The sequence below is a fragment of the Homo sapiens genome, chromosome 20 (assembly GCF_000001405.40).
Source record: "Homo sapiens chromosome 20, GRCh38.p14 Primary Assembly".
NCBI lineage: Eukaryota > Metazoa > Chordata > Mammalia > Primates > Hominidae > Homo > Homo sapiens.
In genome coordinates, this window is record NC_000020.11 from 50,151,676 (window position 1) to 50,167,235 (window position 15,560).

Consider the following 15,560-nt stretch of genomic DNA (forward strand, 5'->3'; position numbering starts at 1 on the left):
AGTGAAACCCCATCTCTACTGAAAATACAGAAAATTAGCCGGGCATGGTGGCGGGCGCCTGTAGTCCCAGCTACTCAGGAGGCTGAGGCAGGAGAATGGCGTGAACCCGGGAGGAGGAGCTTGCAGTGAGCCGAGATCACGCCACTGCACTCCAGCCTGGGCAACAGAGTGAGACTCCATCTCAAAACAAATAAAACAAAACAAAACAAAAAACAACAAAAAAACCCACACAACAACAGGGAGTGCCTACTGAATGCCAGTGGACGATCTCATTTCCACTTCCTAACACGAAGGGGCAGATAAACTTTAACTTGCAAGGAAACCAAGGGGAAACAGAGACGGAAAGTGGCTTGGACCAGGTCATACAGCTGAATAACAGAGTCAGGATGTTAACCCTGGCCTACCCCCAGGAGAGCAGGAGGTTTTAAGTCCATAGGCTGGGTGTCTTGGGTATAGGCCTGAAGAAACCATAGCGGCATGGACCAGGTGCCCAAGTCAGGTGTGAAAAATCACATACAGAGAATGGAGTGGTCTAGGACCCAGTGAGGAAATGCAAATGGTCCGTGGCCATGCCGCCTTTTAAGGAAGAGACGGCATGGAACCCAGGCCAGTGAGGGCAGAAAGCTAAGGTGCTAGTGACCCCAGGCCCACTCCAGGCAAGGGCTGCATGTGGTGCTTGGTGGCTGCCCCACAGAAAAAGGAAGGATGTCAGGATATTTGACAAACAAAGCTTCATTCCATGGTGACACCCAGGTAGAGGTGCCTCCCAGTCACCTGAACCAGGAGTTCTCAAAGGCACTTCCTTAACTCCTGGGGATATAGGGCCCTCCTGAGGCCAAACAGTAAAATTCCTAGGGCTCACGTAGGAGTCACAAAAGTGGGTGTAGGGGGGGTGCTTGCTGGAGCATATACAGTGAGCAAAGCAGGAAGAAGCTAGGGAGAAACCGTGGCCTGAGGGAAAGGGACAGAGAGGGAGAGGTGAACTCCAACTTATGATCTGGTCTGGGGAATATGGGGGTTCCAGTCCCAAGTCCTAAGGAAGGGGCCAATACATGGATGTGAGGGAGGGGCAAGAGCTAGAGTTGGGGCTTATGTACAGGGGAGCTTACAGTGGGGTACATTCAGTCCCCTCACTGCCTGGGATCCAGGAATATGGGGCAAGGACTGATGCTCACCACTGGAGGGTTGGGGAGAGGATATCGGTCTGTAGCCACTGAAGCTATCACTAGGATGGGGTTTTGGGGGAAGGGTGTGGGGGGTACCGTGCAGCTGGAAGCCCCTGAGTTAGGGTTCCCTGGGCAGAGGGGCTGACATTCCCAGGTTAGGGAGGTGAGGTCATTGTTTGCAGCCCAGGGCCTGGGCTAGGGCACAGAGGAGGTACTAGGATGTAGATTCCAGATCTGGGGAACCCAGGATGAGGTGTGACTTTTAGGGGCCTGAGGGCAGTGCTTACAGCTGAAGGGCAGCTTTGGGCTTGGACCGGGTCCTGGGGGGATGAGGGGGTGGGGTTCTAAGTCTAGGAGCACTCTTCACAACCGAGAATGCCCCGGGGCTAGGATTCCGTATCTGCGGGTCCGATGGGAGCTCCGTTTGTCGCCCAGGGAGCTCATGGTAATTTCTTGATCTGGGGAGTGTCTCTGCAGCCAGGAAACCCCGGGGCCAAGGTTCTGGCTTGGGTTCGGAAGGGACACTGGGGTGGGGTCCCCGAACTTGCTATTTGCAAGTTAGACACCCGGGCTGGAGTTCCGCATCTGGGCCCGAGGTTGGGACTCCAGTCTGGGGTCGCTGTCCGCAGCCGGGGCTGGTGACCGCAGGCCTGGAGGGGGGCCCAGAGGTCTTACCTGGCGAGTAGAGCGCAGCCAGCTCGCGGGCCCCGGCGTGCTGCGCGCCCCAGCGGCAACAAGACGCCTCGTCCTCGTCCAGCTCCAGCTGCTGGCCCGGCCAGTTCTCGGCGCCCGCCATGGCCACTCGCCCGATCGGCCCGGTGCGCTCTGCTGGCGGCGGCGGCGGCAGGGCCGCGGAACCGCGGCGAGATCACGCCGCCCAATGACCGCCCAGCGCCGGGCGCGGCGGCGGCGCGGGCGGGGTCCTCGCCCGGCCGCGCGTCACAGCCAATCGGGGCTCGCGCCGGAGCCGCGCAGGCCAATCGGACGTCGCTGAGCCGCAGCCAACCGCCGCGAGCCGGAGGCTGGGACGCAGCTGGACGCAGCTGGGCGCGGAAGCTTGGGGCGGAGGCGCGTGCCCGCCTTCCCAGCTCAGCCCCGGCAGGGCTCCCGGCTCCAGCCCACTGGGAGCTCGCGGCGCGTCGCCGCCCAGCTAGGCTTCGGTTCACGGGCCCATGCAATGGGCCGAGGCAGGGCCCAGAAATGGGCATTTCTTGAGCCGGCAGCGTTAAGCGCCCACTGTGTGCAAGGAACGCGAGGGCAGGGCGCCGGGCTGGGGCCGAGGCCAGGAAGCATTTGGCGGGTGCTCTGTACGATGCTCCCTAGCGAGGCCGATGGAGAGTGGGCTGGTTTATCAAGCCCTACTGTGTGCAGAGGTTTCGGGTGCCATGTGTTCATCAGCTGTGTGCCAGCTCTGTGCTGTGCGCCCAAAGAGGAGAAACGTCGAGCCTGCCCCGCATCCTCCCCAGCTCATGTTCTCCCGGTGGCGAGGACAGTAAACTAATGAAAATGACAACTAGGGTCACTATGAGATTTGCTGAGCGCTTAATATCTGTCAGGTGCTGGACCAAGAGCTAGACGAGCAACATTTATTTGACTCTTAAACACCAATGGTATTGCCTCCTCAGAGAGCCCCACCACCACCACCCTGCTCAAAGGTGCCCCCTCCTCCAGTCACTGTGACATCACCCTGTTTTGTCTTCACAGCGCTTCTGGTGGGGATTGAGCTTGCAGTCCCTGTCTCTCCTATCAGAGAGCAAGCTCCTGAGGGCAGAGAACAGCTTTGTTTACAGCAGGGCCCCCGTGCCAGGATCGGGGCTGGAACATGGTAGAAGCTCAATAAATGCTTGATGAATGAATTAAGGCTCAGCCAGATGCGTCTAATACTTCGGCAGATAAATGACAGCAGCAGGGATTTACCCCAGGTCTAACCGACAACAAAGTATGCAATAATTTCTCATAGAAATTCCATACAGGCAGCCGGGCGCGGTGGCTCACGCCGGTAATCCCAGCACTTTGGGAGGCCAAGGCGGGCGGATCATGAGGTCAGGAGATCGAGACCATCCTGGCTAACACGGTGAAACCCCGTCTCTACTAAAAATACAAAAAATTAGCTGGGCGCGGTGGCGGGCGCCTGTAGTCCCAGCTACTCGGGAGGCTGAGACAGGAGAATGGCGTGAACCCGGGAGGCGGAGCTTGCAGTGAGCCGAGATCGCGCCACTGCACTCCAGCCTGGGCGACAGAGGGAGACTCCGTCTCAAAAAAAAAAAAAAAAAATTCCATACAGGCTGGACGCGGTGGCTCAGGCCTGTAATCCCAGCACTTTGGGAGGCCGAGGCCAGTGGATCACCTAAGGCCAGGAGTTTGAGACCAGCCTGGACAACATGGTAAAACCTTGTCTCTACTAAAAATACAAAAATTAGGCAAGCTACTTATCCCAGATACTTGGAAGGCTGAGGCAGGAGAATCACTTGAACCTGGGAGGTGGAGGTTGCAGTGAGCCGAGATGGCGCCACTGCACTCCAACCTGGGTGACAAGAGTGAGACTTGGTCTCAAAAAAAAAAAAAATCCATACAGTGAGATCACATAGGAGCCTCCCTAGAGGCTGTGGAAGGTCCTGAAAGGTGCTGGGGGAGCAGAGAGGGAAGGTAAGATCCCCTTCCAGAATCCAGGTTCTCTGAGGGTTTAAGTCCTGGATTCCTGCACTACCAGTCACCCCAGGGCTGTTTCCTGAGTGTTCCTACCATAGACAGCCACTGTCCCCACCCAGGCCTATGCTCCCTCCGTTTCTTTCCCACACCTGCTCCCAGGAAGGAAAAGCCACCTTCCAGTGGCAGGGATGGGTTGCAACCCAAGTCCTGGTGAATTCCGGTGAAGCTGGCTGGTTTTGCATCAGTATTAACAGCACAGTTAATCCAACAGTTGGATTTTTTAACCCAGGAGCTTAAGGCTTGGGTGGGGGGCGGCGGACGGGGGGGGGGGGGCGCGGTTGGTGGCTTTGGTGGGGGCTGGATGTCAGATTTCAGGTAAATACCTTCTAAAGCTCTCTGCTCGTATCCCACAGCCTCCAAACAGGGTAGGGTGGCTGGTTACTGCTGCTGTCCAGAGACCCTCACAGTGGCCAGCACCAGATGGTTGATGGACAGACTGCCTGAGATAACTCATTCCTTCATTCATTCACTGAACATGTTTATTAAACACCAACCTGTCCCAGGGAAACAGCAGGGAATGTGACAGAATCCCTGCTTTCTTGGGAGGTGGGGGTGAAGGTTAGGGAAGTCCTGTTTAAGAAGGTGACATTGGATCCAAGACCTAAAGGATATGGGGGAGACAGTTACTTAAAATGAGCTGGGAAGTCCCTTCCCTGTGGGGTTTTGAGTAGAGGAATGACATGATCTGACTTTTTTTTTTTTTTTTTTTTTTTTTTGAGACGGAGTCTCGCTCTGTCGCCCAGGCCGGACTGCGGACTGCAGTGGCGCAATCTCGGCTCACTGCAAGCTCCGCTTCCCGGGTTCACGCCATTCTCCTGCCTCAGCCTCCCGAGTAGCTGGGACTACAGGCGCCCGCCACCGCGCCCGGCTAATTTTTTGTATTTTTAGTAGAGACGGGGTTTCACCTTGTTAGCCAGGATGGTCTCGATCTCCTGACCTCATGATCCACCCGCCTCGGCCTCCCAAAGTGCTGGGATTACAGGCGTGAGCCACCGCGCCCGGCCGACTTTTTTTTTTTTTTGAGACGGAGTCTCACTCTGTCGCCAGGCTGGAGTGCAGTGGCACAATCTCGTCTCACTGCAACCTCTGCCCCCCGGGTTCAAGCGATCCTCCTGCCTCAGCATCCTGAGTAGCTGGGACTACAGGCACGCGCCACCACACCCAGCTAATTTTTGTATTTTTAGTAGAGACCGGGTTTCACCGTGTTGGCCAGGATGGTCTCGGTCTCTTGACCTCGTGATCTGCCCACCTCAGCCTTCCAAAGTGCTGGGATTACAGGCGTGAGCCACCCCACCCGCCTTTTTTTTTTTTTTTTTTTTTTGAGACAGGGTCTCACTCTGTCACCTGGGCTGGAGTGCAGCAGTGGCACAATCTTGGCTCACTGCAGCCTTGACTTCCCAGGCTTAAGGGATTCTCCCACCTCAGTCTCCCAAGTAGCTGGGACTACAGGTGCTCGCCACCATGCCTGGCTAACTTTTGTATTGTTGGTAGAGATGGGGTTTTGCCATGTTGCCCAGGCTGGTCTCAAACTCCTGGGCTAAAGCCATCCTCCCACCTCAGCTTCCCAAAGTGCTGGGATTATAGGCATGAGCCACTGTGCCCAGCCTATATCTTTTGTTTCATGAGATATAAATCTTTTTTTTTTTTTTTTTGAGACAGAGTCTCGCTCTGTCACCCAGGCTGGAGTGCAGTGGCGTGATCTCGGCTCACTGCAAACTTTGCCTTCCGGTTTCAAGCGATTCTCCTGCCTCAGCCTCCTGAGTAGCTGAAATTACAGGCGCCCACAATCCCTGGCTGATTTTTGTATTTTTAGTAGAGATGGGGTTTCACCATGTTGGCCAGGCTGGTCTCGAACTCCTGACCTCGTGATCCGTCCGTGTTGGCCTCCCAAAGTGCTGAGATTACAGGCATGAGCCACCATGCCCCACCAAGAGATATAAATTTCATACCTTTTAAAGTATAAAGTGAACCATATTAAATTCCGTGGTTTTTAGTATATTCACACAGTTGTGTAATCATCACGACTATCTAGTTCCAGAACATTTTAAGTACCCCCAAAAGAAACCCCATATCCATTAGCAGTTACTCCCTCACTTCCCTCTTTCCCCAGCCCCTGGTAACCATTAATCTACTTTCTGCTTCTAAGGACTTGCTTCTACTGGACATTTCAATATAATGGAATCATATAATCTATAATTATATGAAGCCTTTTTTGTCTGGCTTCTTTCACTTAGCATAATGTTTTCAAGGTTCATCCATGTTGTAGCACATGTCAGAACTGCACTTTTTTATTCTTCCAGTAGCTCAGATTACAGGCATGCGCCATCACGCCCAGCTAATTTTTTTGTATTTAGTAGAGACGGGGTTTCACCATGTTAGTCAGGCTGATTGTGAACTCCTGACCTCAGGTGATACACCTGCCTCGGCCTCCCAAAGTGCTGGGATTACAGGCATGCGCCACCGCGCCCGGCCACGTATATCTTTTTTGGAGAAATATCTATTAAAATCCTTTGCCTTGGCCGGATGTGGTGGCTCATGCCTGTAATCCCAGCTACTTGGGAGACTGAGGCAGGAGAATCATTTGATCCTGGGAGGCGAGTGATCCGAGTGAGCTGAGACCACGCCATTGCACTCTAGCCTGGGCAGCAAGAGCGAAACTCCATATCAAAAACAAACAAACAAAAAATCAAATCCTTTGCCTTTTTTCAAATTCAGTTATTGGTATTTTTCTTGAATTGTAAGAGTTCTTGATATAGTATGGCTATTAATCCCTTATCATATATAGGATTTACGACAATTTTCTCTCATTCTGTTGGTTGTCTTTTAACTTCCTTGATAATGTTCTTTGACATACACTTTTTTTTTTTTTTTTTAAATAGGGTCTCATTCTTTTGTCCAGGCTGGAGTGCAGTGGTGTGATCATGGCTCACTGCAGCCTTGAACTCTTGGGTTCAGGTGATTCTCCCACCTCAGTCATCCAAGTAGCTGGGATTACAGGCAGATTACAGGCATGGGCCACCACACTCAGTTAATTTTTTGTATTTTTTTTTTTTGAGTGGAGTCTTACTCTGTTGCCCTGGCTGGAGCGCAGTGGTGTGATCCCAGCTCACTACAACCTCCGCCTCTTGGGTTCAAGCGATTCTCCTGCCTCAGCCTCTCAAATAGCTGGGATTACAGATGTGCTCCACCACACCAGCTAATTTTTTATATTTTTAGTAGAGATGAGGTTTCACCATGTTGGTCAGGCTAGTCTCGAACTCCTGACCTCATGTGATCCAACCACCTTGGCCTCCCAAAGTGCTGGGATTACAGGCGTGAGCCACGGCACCCAGCCCAGACTTCCCTTTTTAAAAAAATTTTTTCTTCCTCACAGGGTCTCTGTATTTGTCTCCCTGGCTGGAATGCAGTGGCACCATCATGGCTCACTGTAGCCTCAACCTCTTAGGCTCAAACAATCCTCCTACCTCAGCCTCCCAAGTAGCTTGGATCACAGGCACACACCACCATGCCTGGCTAATTTATTTTTTGTAGAGATGGGGTCTCACTATGTTGCCCAGGCTGGTCTTGAACTCCTGGGCTCAAGCAAACCTCCTACTTCAGCCTCCCAAAGTGCTGGGATTACAGGCGTGAGCCACTGCGCTTGGCCTCCGAGTGGTACATTTGTTAATTGATAAACCTATATTGACACTCCATTATCACCCAAAGTCAATAGCTGGCATTACGATTCACTCTTGGTGTACATTCTGTGGGCTTGGGCAAATGTGTAATGACATGGATCCACCATCATAGTTATCAGACAGAGTAGTTTCACTGCCCTAAAAATCCTCTATTGCAGATGTATTTTAATGATTTGGCTGAATATGTGGGCTGCTAAGAAGTGGGCTTTGAGCCCACAGGAATTTAAAAAAAACCCAGGCCATAGCCTGGCAGAAGGACCAGGGGGCCTCAGAGAGTATACCAGGCTGTGAGAAGAGCCTCAGAGGCAAGCAGGGATGGCCATGTGGTCAGGATGTCGGGGGCTCCTGAGAGGCTGTGTGTGCCCAGCAGAGCCACCTGTTCCCTGATCCAGTCACTGAGCACATCTCCTCACCCCCAGCAGGGCTTCCTACCCAGCAGAAAGTGCCCCAGGCAGTGCTCTGGCCCTGTTGCGGGCTTTAGGCCAACACCCTCAGTGTGTCCACCTCCTGACAAGGGACAAGAGTGTGGACAGGAAGGCTTCCTTCCCTGGGGGTGGGGGGTGTCCTGGAGGGACTGATCAGAACCAGATGTTGCCTGTCTGGACTGTGGCACAGCTGTCCCCAAACTTCCTCTTTTCCACAAAAGGTTCTTTTCGAAACATGTGAGACATGGGCATGTGGATATCTGTTCCTGGCTGCCGACATCCATTCCTGCTCCTTCATAGAAATAATACCCTGAATTGGCTGGGTACGGTGGCTCACGCCTGTAATCCCAGCACTTTGGGAGGCCAAGGCAGGCGGATCATGAGGTCAGGACATCGAGACCATGCTGGCTAACATGGTGAAACCCCGTCCCTACTAAAAATACAAAAAAAGTAGCCGGGTGTGGTGGCACGTGCCTGTAGTCCCAGCTACTCGGGAGGCTGGGGCAGGAGAATCGCTGAACCCGGGAGGTGTAGGTTGCAGTGAGCCAAGATCACACTCCAGCCTGGGTGACAGAGTGAGACTCCATCTCAAAAAAGAAAAAAAAAAATGCCCTGAAGTTTTGGAGGAATCTCTCTTGCTGCCCCTGTTCTCAGCCCCTGAATTTAGCACAAGCCAAGCTACATTGTCCAGTCCCCTGGGATGCAGTGATTGGTTCAGGGATGAGCATGTGACTTCAGATGGTCTATGACAGTGGACTTCAGGATCCTGGTATGGAATTGGGATGTGAATAAGAAAGCAAGTCTCATCAGAATCTGCTGGCAGCCATGGGGGCATCATCCTCAGGGTGAGTGCAACATTAGAGGAAGCAAAAAGGAGAGACCAAGAGAAACCAGGTCCTTGCTGAGACCTTTAAGTGCCTGGATCAAGCTTCACCTGAAAGCAGCCCTACCTTTCCAGTCAGACAGACTTAGGTTAAGTCTCAGCTCCACCACTTGTGTGCTGTGTGACCATGGGCAAATTATTTACTCTCTCAGGATGTCAGTTTCCTCCTGTAAAAATGGGGATCCTAGCAGAGTGCCAGCTTCATAGGGTTGTTATGAAGATAAGTTAATACATACATAGTTGTTAGAAGAGTGCCTGGTATATTGTAAACCCTCAATAAATTTTATTTTATTTTATTTTTTTGAGACAGAGTCTCACTCTGTCATCCGGGCTGGAGTGCAATGGCTCGATCTCGGCTCACTGCAACCTCCGCCTCTGGGGTACAAGTGATTCTCCTGCCTCAGCCTCTCAAGTAGCTGGGATTACAGGTGCCTGTCACCACGCCCAGCTAATTTTTGTATTCTTAGTAGAGATGGGGTTTTGCCATGTTGGCCAGGCTGGTCTCAAACTCCTGACCTCAAGTGACCCACCTGCCTCGGCCTCCCAAAGTGCTGGGATTATAGGTGTGAGCCACTACACCCGCCTTCAATAAATTTTAGCTATTACTGTTAGCACTGAGCCACTGGAACAAACCTTACCTGAACTGAAACTTTCCTTTGAACTTCACTGATATAGGAATCCAGTGGATTCTGTTTTTGTTTGTTTGTTTGTTTGTTTTTTGAGATGGAGTTTTGCTCTTGTTGCTTAGGTTGGAGTGCAATGGTGTGATCTCGGCTCACGGCAACCTCTGCCTCCTGGGTTCAAGCGATTCTCCTGCCTCAGCCTCCTGACTAGCTGGGATTACAGGCATGCACCACCACGCCCAGCTAATTTTGTATTTTTTAGTAGAGACGGGGTTTCTCCATGTTGTTCAGGCTGGTCTTGAACTCCTGACCTCAGGTGATCCACCTGCCTTGGCCTCCCAAAGTGCTAGGATTACAGGCATGAGCCACCGTGCCTGGCCTGGATTCTGTTTTTATTTTGCTATATTTTTTCTTGCTTGCAGAGTGTGGGGCCTGAGATCAGGGAAGGATCAGCGAGAAAGGTGTGGGGAACTGTGTTTGAAGGTGGCTATTGCTCTGTGGCAGGCAGTTTGCATACAACTTGCTATTTGGCCCCATTTTCCAGAAAAGGAAACTGAGGTTCAGAGAAGTTAAGTTGTCCAATGTTTCGTTTTTTTTTTTTTTTTTTTTTGAGATGGAGTCTTGCTCTGCCACCCAGGCTGGAACGCAGTGGCGTGATCTTGGCTCACTGCAACCTCCGCCTCTGGGGTTCATGCCATTCTCTTGCCTCAGCCTCCCAAGTAGCTGGGACGACAGGCGCCCACCACCACACCCGGCTAATTTTTTTGTATGTTTAGTAGGGACGGGGTTTCACCGTGTTAGCCATGATGGTCTCAATCTCCTGACCTCGTGATCCGCCCGCCTCGGCCTCCCAAGGTGCTGGGATTACAGGTGTGAGCCACTGCACCTGGCCAACTTCTCCAGTGTTTTTACCAAGGAGAAAAGGTAAGGTAAGGTGCCGGGTGTGGTGGCTCACACCTGTAATCCCAGCACTTTGGGAGGCCGAGGCGGGTGGATTACTTGAGGCCAGGAGTTCGAGACCAGCCTGGCTAACATGGGAAACCCCATCTCTACTAAAAACACAAAAATTAGCTGGGCGTGGTGGCACGTGCCTGTGCCTGTAATCTCAACTACTGGGGAGGCTGTGGCAGGAGAATGGCTTGAACCCGGGAGGCGGAGGTTGCAGTGAGCCGAGATCACACCACTGCACTCCAGCCTGGGCGACAGAGCAAGACTCCGTCTCAAAAAACAAAACAAAACAAAGATAAGGGAGGGAAGCTGGACACTGGGTATGGCAAGAGTAAACGCCAGGAGATGTGACTGTACCTGGTGTGCATGCAGGGAATGGGAGTCATTAGGAATCCAGAGGAATTAGCGGGGAATAAAAGGCCAGGAGGCCAGGAAGGGCGGAGTCCAGCTCCGTATCGGTGGTGGTTGAAGCTATCTTTGTGTTATGGCCACATCAGGGGTTCCCTTGCATCAATCTTCTTATCTGTGAGGGGGACATAGAGGTGCATTTGTTTGGATTAGATTTGACTATAAGCCACAGATATCCCAAAGTTATAGTGGCTTAAACATGGCAGACACACACACACACACACACACTACACACACACACACACACACGAACATGGCAGACATTTCTTTTCCTTTCACATAGGTATAGGGGACCAGAGGTAGTGTGGCAGAATCCACAATCACCAGGCCCCTTCTATCTGGTCACTCCACCATCTGGTCGGTCAACCAACAGGTGGCTTCCACCTCAGGGCCCAAGAAGGTTGCTCATGCTGCAGCCGTTTTGTCATATTCCAGCCAGCAGGAAGGGGCAAAGAAGGCAACACTTCCCTGCTTTGATCCCACTGGTTAGAACTTGGTCTTAGTCACATGGCACTCTCTGCTGTACAGGAGGCTGGAGAATGCAGTTGTCCTCTGCGGAGACCAACTTAAAAGCTGGGGTTCTATTAATAATAAGAAAGGAAAATGATATTATTAATAGTTGATACTCGGAAGCTTCTGCCACACACATGGCAGGCACGAGTCCTTCTTTTTGGCCTCCAGTGTATGAACTGCTTTCCTAGGCTCTCTAGCCATTGTGGTGTTCCTGAGAGTTCCCCAATTATTTCCCTAGTAGATTACTTGTTTCTTGCCTGTCATCGTGAGCCCTCATAGTGAATGGCATAGGGGACAAGATCAGAAATGCCTGATCAACAATAACGGTGAGCATTTATTGAGCACGTACTGCACGCCAGGCCATGTTATAACCTTACTTCAGCCTCCCGAGTAGCTGGGATTACAGGCATGCGCCACCACGCCTGGCTAACTTTGTATTTTTAGTAGAGACGGGGTTTCTCCATGTTGGTCAGGCTGGTCTCGAACTCCCAACCTCCGGTGACCCGCTCGCTTCGGCCTCCCAAAGTGCTGGGATTACAGGCCTGAGAGCCACCGCACCCGGCCGGACCTGGTTCATTTTAAAATTGTTGTCTTAATCTTAGTTGCTTAACTGCTTGCAATTCTGTGTGTTGGCTGGTGGTTCCTCTGTGGGCTTCCCCTGGGCTTGTGCATGCGGCTGCTTCTGGCTTTCAGCTGTGCTGGCTGGGCTAAGGTGGCCTCATTCATGGTGACATGGGATTCAGATGGGATCCAGATGGGATTCAGATAGCAGCTGATTGTTGGCTGGGGCACCTCTGTACTGCATCTGGGCTCTCATCATCCAGAAGGTTAGACTGGCTTCTGTACGTGGTGTTTTCAGCACAGCATCCAGGAGCCCTAGGCCCAGATGTCCCATAAAGTCTCTTTCTCCCATTTATTCTATCTCAAAGCAAGTCAAACACCAGCCCAGGGCTTCCAGGAAACTGCTCCTCGCTCCTTGTTGGCCCACAGACTTCATTTGTACTCACTAGCAGAGGGATAAGATTACTCTTTGACTCATCCGGCCCTCCAAGGCAGGGCAGGGAATGGGGTCACTTACCTAAGGCACCTGGGTTGCCTGGGGAAGGGGGCAAGTGCAGGGAGAGGGTGGTTACAGAGGGACACAATAGACAATAGGACCATCACCACCCACTGTTTATGTTCGGTGGAATTTCTTTCCAGGCATTTTACAAATATACGCAAGAGATCTTCCTGCCTGCCACACTTATACTGAGAACCTTTTTCTGGAAGCCTCTTGGGACTGTGCCCTAATTGTGTCTAGATCCAGGGCACAATCATACAATGATGTTTTTCCTTTTCCTGGGAGCAGGTGGGAATGACAGATTAAAACTTGCTTTAAAAACTAGAACAAAACATAGGTGAGTTTCTAAAAAAATGCCTTTAAAAATAATAATTCAATTTTTTTTCAAATTTACAGAAAGTTGCAAGAATAGTACAATAAACTCTCAATACCCTAATTATCAACATTTTGCTACACGTGATTTATCCTTCTTTCTCTCCATGTGTACCATTTTTTCGGAACCATTTGAGAGTCAGTTACAGACATAATGCCTTTTTACCCTAAATTCTTCAGTGTGTATTTCTTAAGAACAAAGACATTATCTTATAGGAACTCTATAGTTTTTAAAATCAGAAAATGTCACATTGGTGCAATGCTATAATTTAACTTCTTTTCTTTCTTTTCTTTTTTTTTTTTTTTTTTTGAGATGGAGTTTCGCTCTTGTTGCCCAGGCTGGAGTGCAATGGCGTGATCTTGGCTCACCGCTACCTCCGCCTCCCAGGTTAAAGCAATTCTCCTGCCTCAGCCTCCCGAGTAGCTGGGACTACAGGCACACGCCACCACACCCAGTTAATTTTTGTATTTTTTTTTTTTAGTAGAGATGGGGTTCACCATGTTGGCCAGGATGGTCTCGATCTCCTGACCTCGTCATCTGTCTGCCTCGGCCTCCCAAAGCAGTGGGATTACAGGTGTGAGTCACTGCGCCTGGCCTATAATTTAATTTCTATCGTTCAGATTCAAATCTCGTTATTTATCCCAATTAGGAACTGAGACCCTTTTTTTTTTCTCTGAGTCTGCTTGCAAGGGACATCTCTTATTCTTAAACTAGTGACTATCAATGTCATTGCACCCCTTCTAGGGAGGTAAAATGTCCTTCTGCCCAAAGAGAAGAAAGTCAATAACACATAAAACCTGTTTAAAGAATCTGTGCTTAGAAATCCTCCTCGTAGGCCAGGCGCGGTGGCTCATGCCTGTAATCCCAGCACTTTGGGAGGCCGAGGCAGGTGGATCACCTGAGGTCAGGAGTTCAAGACTAGCCTGGGCAACATGGTGAAACCCCGTCTTTACTAAAAATACAAAAATTGGCTGGGCGCGGTGGCGCATGCCTATAATCCTGGCTACTCGGGAGGCTGAGGCAGGAGAATCACTTGAGCACAGGAGGCAGAGGTTGCAGAGAGCTGAGACTGCGCCACTGCACTCCAGCTTGCGCGACACAGCGAGACTCTGTCTAAAAAAAAAAAGAAAAGAAAAAGAAATCCTCCTCATCCTCATAGGCTCTGTACAGTTACAGCAATGGTTCTCAGTTGGGGGTGATTTTGACTCCCAGGGGACATTTGGCAATGTCTGGAGAAATTTTTGGTTGTCACAACTGGAGGTGGTGATTTACTGGCATCTATTGGGTAGAAGCCACGGATGCTGCTAAACATCCTACAGAGGACGGTTCCCCCGCTGCCTGACAACAAAGAATGACCCAGTCCAGGATGTCAATGGGGCCAAGGTTAGAAATCCTGACCTGTAAGTAAACTGAAGAGGCATGCCTTTTTCTGTTGCAATGGAGCTCCCGTGGATCTACAATTCACCCCAGCAATTCCATTTCCCCCCACCTATGTCACAAAATCCCACCTCTGTAGGCACAGGGAGGTCCAGCCAAGTGTGTTTAGGATCGCTGGAAACTGGAACCAACCTGCATGCCCGTTAGGAGGAGACAGATCAAGCACGTAGTCACGCTGCGCTGTGTTGCTTCCCTCCGCTTCTTTTGCTCCTGGGTAAATAGGGCGGGGGAGGTGAGATTGGAAGGATGCCAGGAATCTTGGGCCCAGCTGCTGCTTTATGACTTAGGGATATAACTGCTTCTGACTCATGCGTGCTTGGCTCTTTGTGATTATGTGCTGAGACACGTCAGCGGGAGGCTGCCCCGGAATGTCTCCCCATGCGAATCGAGGGTGGGGCCTCTGCTGAGTCACCTCTGGCTCCTAGAAGCCTGGCTCAGGGTCAGCTCATTTGAAAAGCGGCTGCCTTTTCTTCTTTTCTCTTCTCTTCTCTTTTTTTTTCTCTCTCTCTTTCATTCACATTATAGCTTGAGTCAGAACTTCATTCCTTTTTAAGGCTGAAGGACCACATTTTGCTTGTTTGTTCATGTGATCGATGATGATGGACACTTAGGTTGTTTCCACTTTTTAGCTATCGTAAACACTGTTGCTAATGGAATATGGGTGTACAAATATTTCTTCAAGATCTTGCTTTCAATTCTTTTGGGTATATACCCAGAAGTGGAACTGCTGCATCATATGGTAATTTCTGTGTTTAATTTGTTGAAGAACTGCCATACTGTTTTCCAGGTTGGCTGTTCCATTTTTAAATTTTATTTATTTATTTATTGTTTATTTGTTTATTTTTTTGAGACGGAGTTTTGCTCTTGTTGTCCAGGCTGGAGTGCAGTGGCGTGATCTTGGCTTATTGCAACCTCCGCCTCCCAGGTTCAAGCCATTCTCCTGCCTCAGGTACCCAAGTAGCTGGGATTACAGGTGTGCGCCACCATGCCCAGCTAATTTTTGTATTCTAGTAGAGACAAGGTTTCACCATGTTGGCCAGGCTGATCTTGAACTCTTGACCTCAAGTGATCCACCTGCCTCAGCCTCCCAAAGTGCTAGGATTATAGGCGTGAGCCTCCACGTCCGGCCTGGCTGTTCCATTTTATATTCCAACAGTGCACAAGGGTTCCAATTTCTCTACATCATCACCAACACTTATTATTATTATTATTATTTTGGAGATGGAGTTTTGCTTTGTCACCCAGGCTGGAGTGCGGTGGCGCTATCTCAGTTCACTGCAACCTCCGCCTCCCAGGTTCAAGCAAATCTCCTGCCTCAGCCTCCCGAGTAGCTGGGAC

At 50.8% G+C, this 15,560-nt stretch overlaps 2 protein-coding genes and 1 long non-coding RNA gene across 8 annotated transcripts in view, besides 2 other annotated features; all 3 read right to left on the bottom strand.

The window, feature by feature from the left end:
• The window catches only part of PEDS1-UBE2V1 (PEDS1-UBE2V1 readthrough), a 72,600-nt gene extending 70,552 nt beyond the window's left edge, over window positions 1-2,048 (bottom strand). Inside the window, exon 1 of the mRNA NM_199203.3 lies at window positions 1,842-2,048. Coding sequence (NP_954673.2) covers window positions 1,842-1,962 — 121 coding nt within the window. The 5' untranslated portion in view covers window positions 1,963-2,048. The remainder of the gene's footprint in view (window positions 1-1,841) is intronic.
• PEDS1 (plasmanylethanolamine desaturase 1) overlaps window positions 1-2,048 on the bottom strand; it is a 35,470-nt gene extending 33,422 nt beyond the window's left edge. For all 3 annotated transcript variants that reach the window (NR_027889.2, NM_001162505.2, NM_199129.4), the window contains exon 1: window positions 1,842-2,048. Coding sequence is in view for 2 of the 3 variants with exons in the window: in NM_001162505.2 (NP_001155977.2) it covers window positions 1,842-1,962 (121 nt within the window). In the remaining variant the exon portion in view is untranslated. The remainder of the gene's footprint in view (window positions 1-1,841) is intronic.
• Window positions 1,802-2,481: a silencer, noted in NCBI's record as "silent region_13014". NCBI's record gives its function as "represses an Ori minimal core promoter by ATAC-STARR-seq in GM12878 lymphoblastoid cells {active_cell/tissue: GM12878}" and the evidence as "EXISTENCE:reporter gene assay evidence [ECO:0000049][PMID:35858748]".
• LINC01275 (long intergenic non-protein coding RNA 1275) lies at window positions 11,092-14,525 on the bottom strand. Of its 4 annotated transcripts, none has more exons than NR_183899.1 (2): window positions 14,355-14,525; window positions 11,092-11,420 (listed from the first exon to the last, which is right to left on the bottom strand). It is a non-coding gene; the product is annotated as a long intergenic non-protein coding RNA 1275 (long non-coding RNA). The 4 variants fall into 4 exon arrangements; NR_183897.1 differs by lacking the exon at window positions 11,092-11,420 and adding an exon at window positions 11,660-12,358; NR_183896.1 differs by lacking the exon at window positions 11,092-11,420 and adding an exon at window positions 11,660-12,448.
• Window positions 13,867-15,066: an enhancer, noted in NCBI's record as "P300/CBP strongly-dependent group 1 enhancer chr20:48782079-48783278 (GRCh37/hg19 assembly coordinates)". NCBI's record gives its function as "activates an origin of replication core promoter dependent on BRD2, BRD4, P300/CBP, MED14 and CDK7 cofactors, with strong dependence on P300/CBP, by STARR-seq in HCT116 cells {active_cell/tissue: HCT116}" and the evidence as "EXISTENCE:reporter gene assay evidence [ECO:0000049][PMID:35650434]".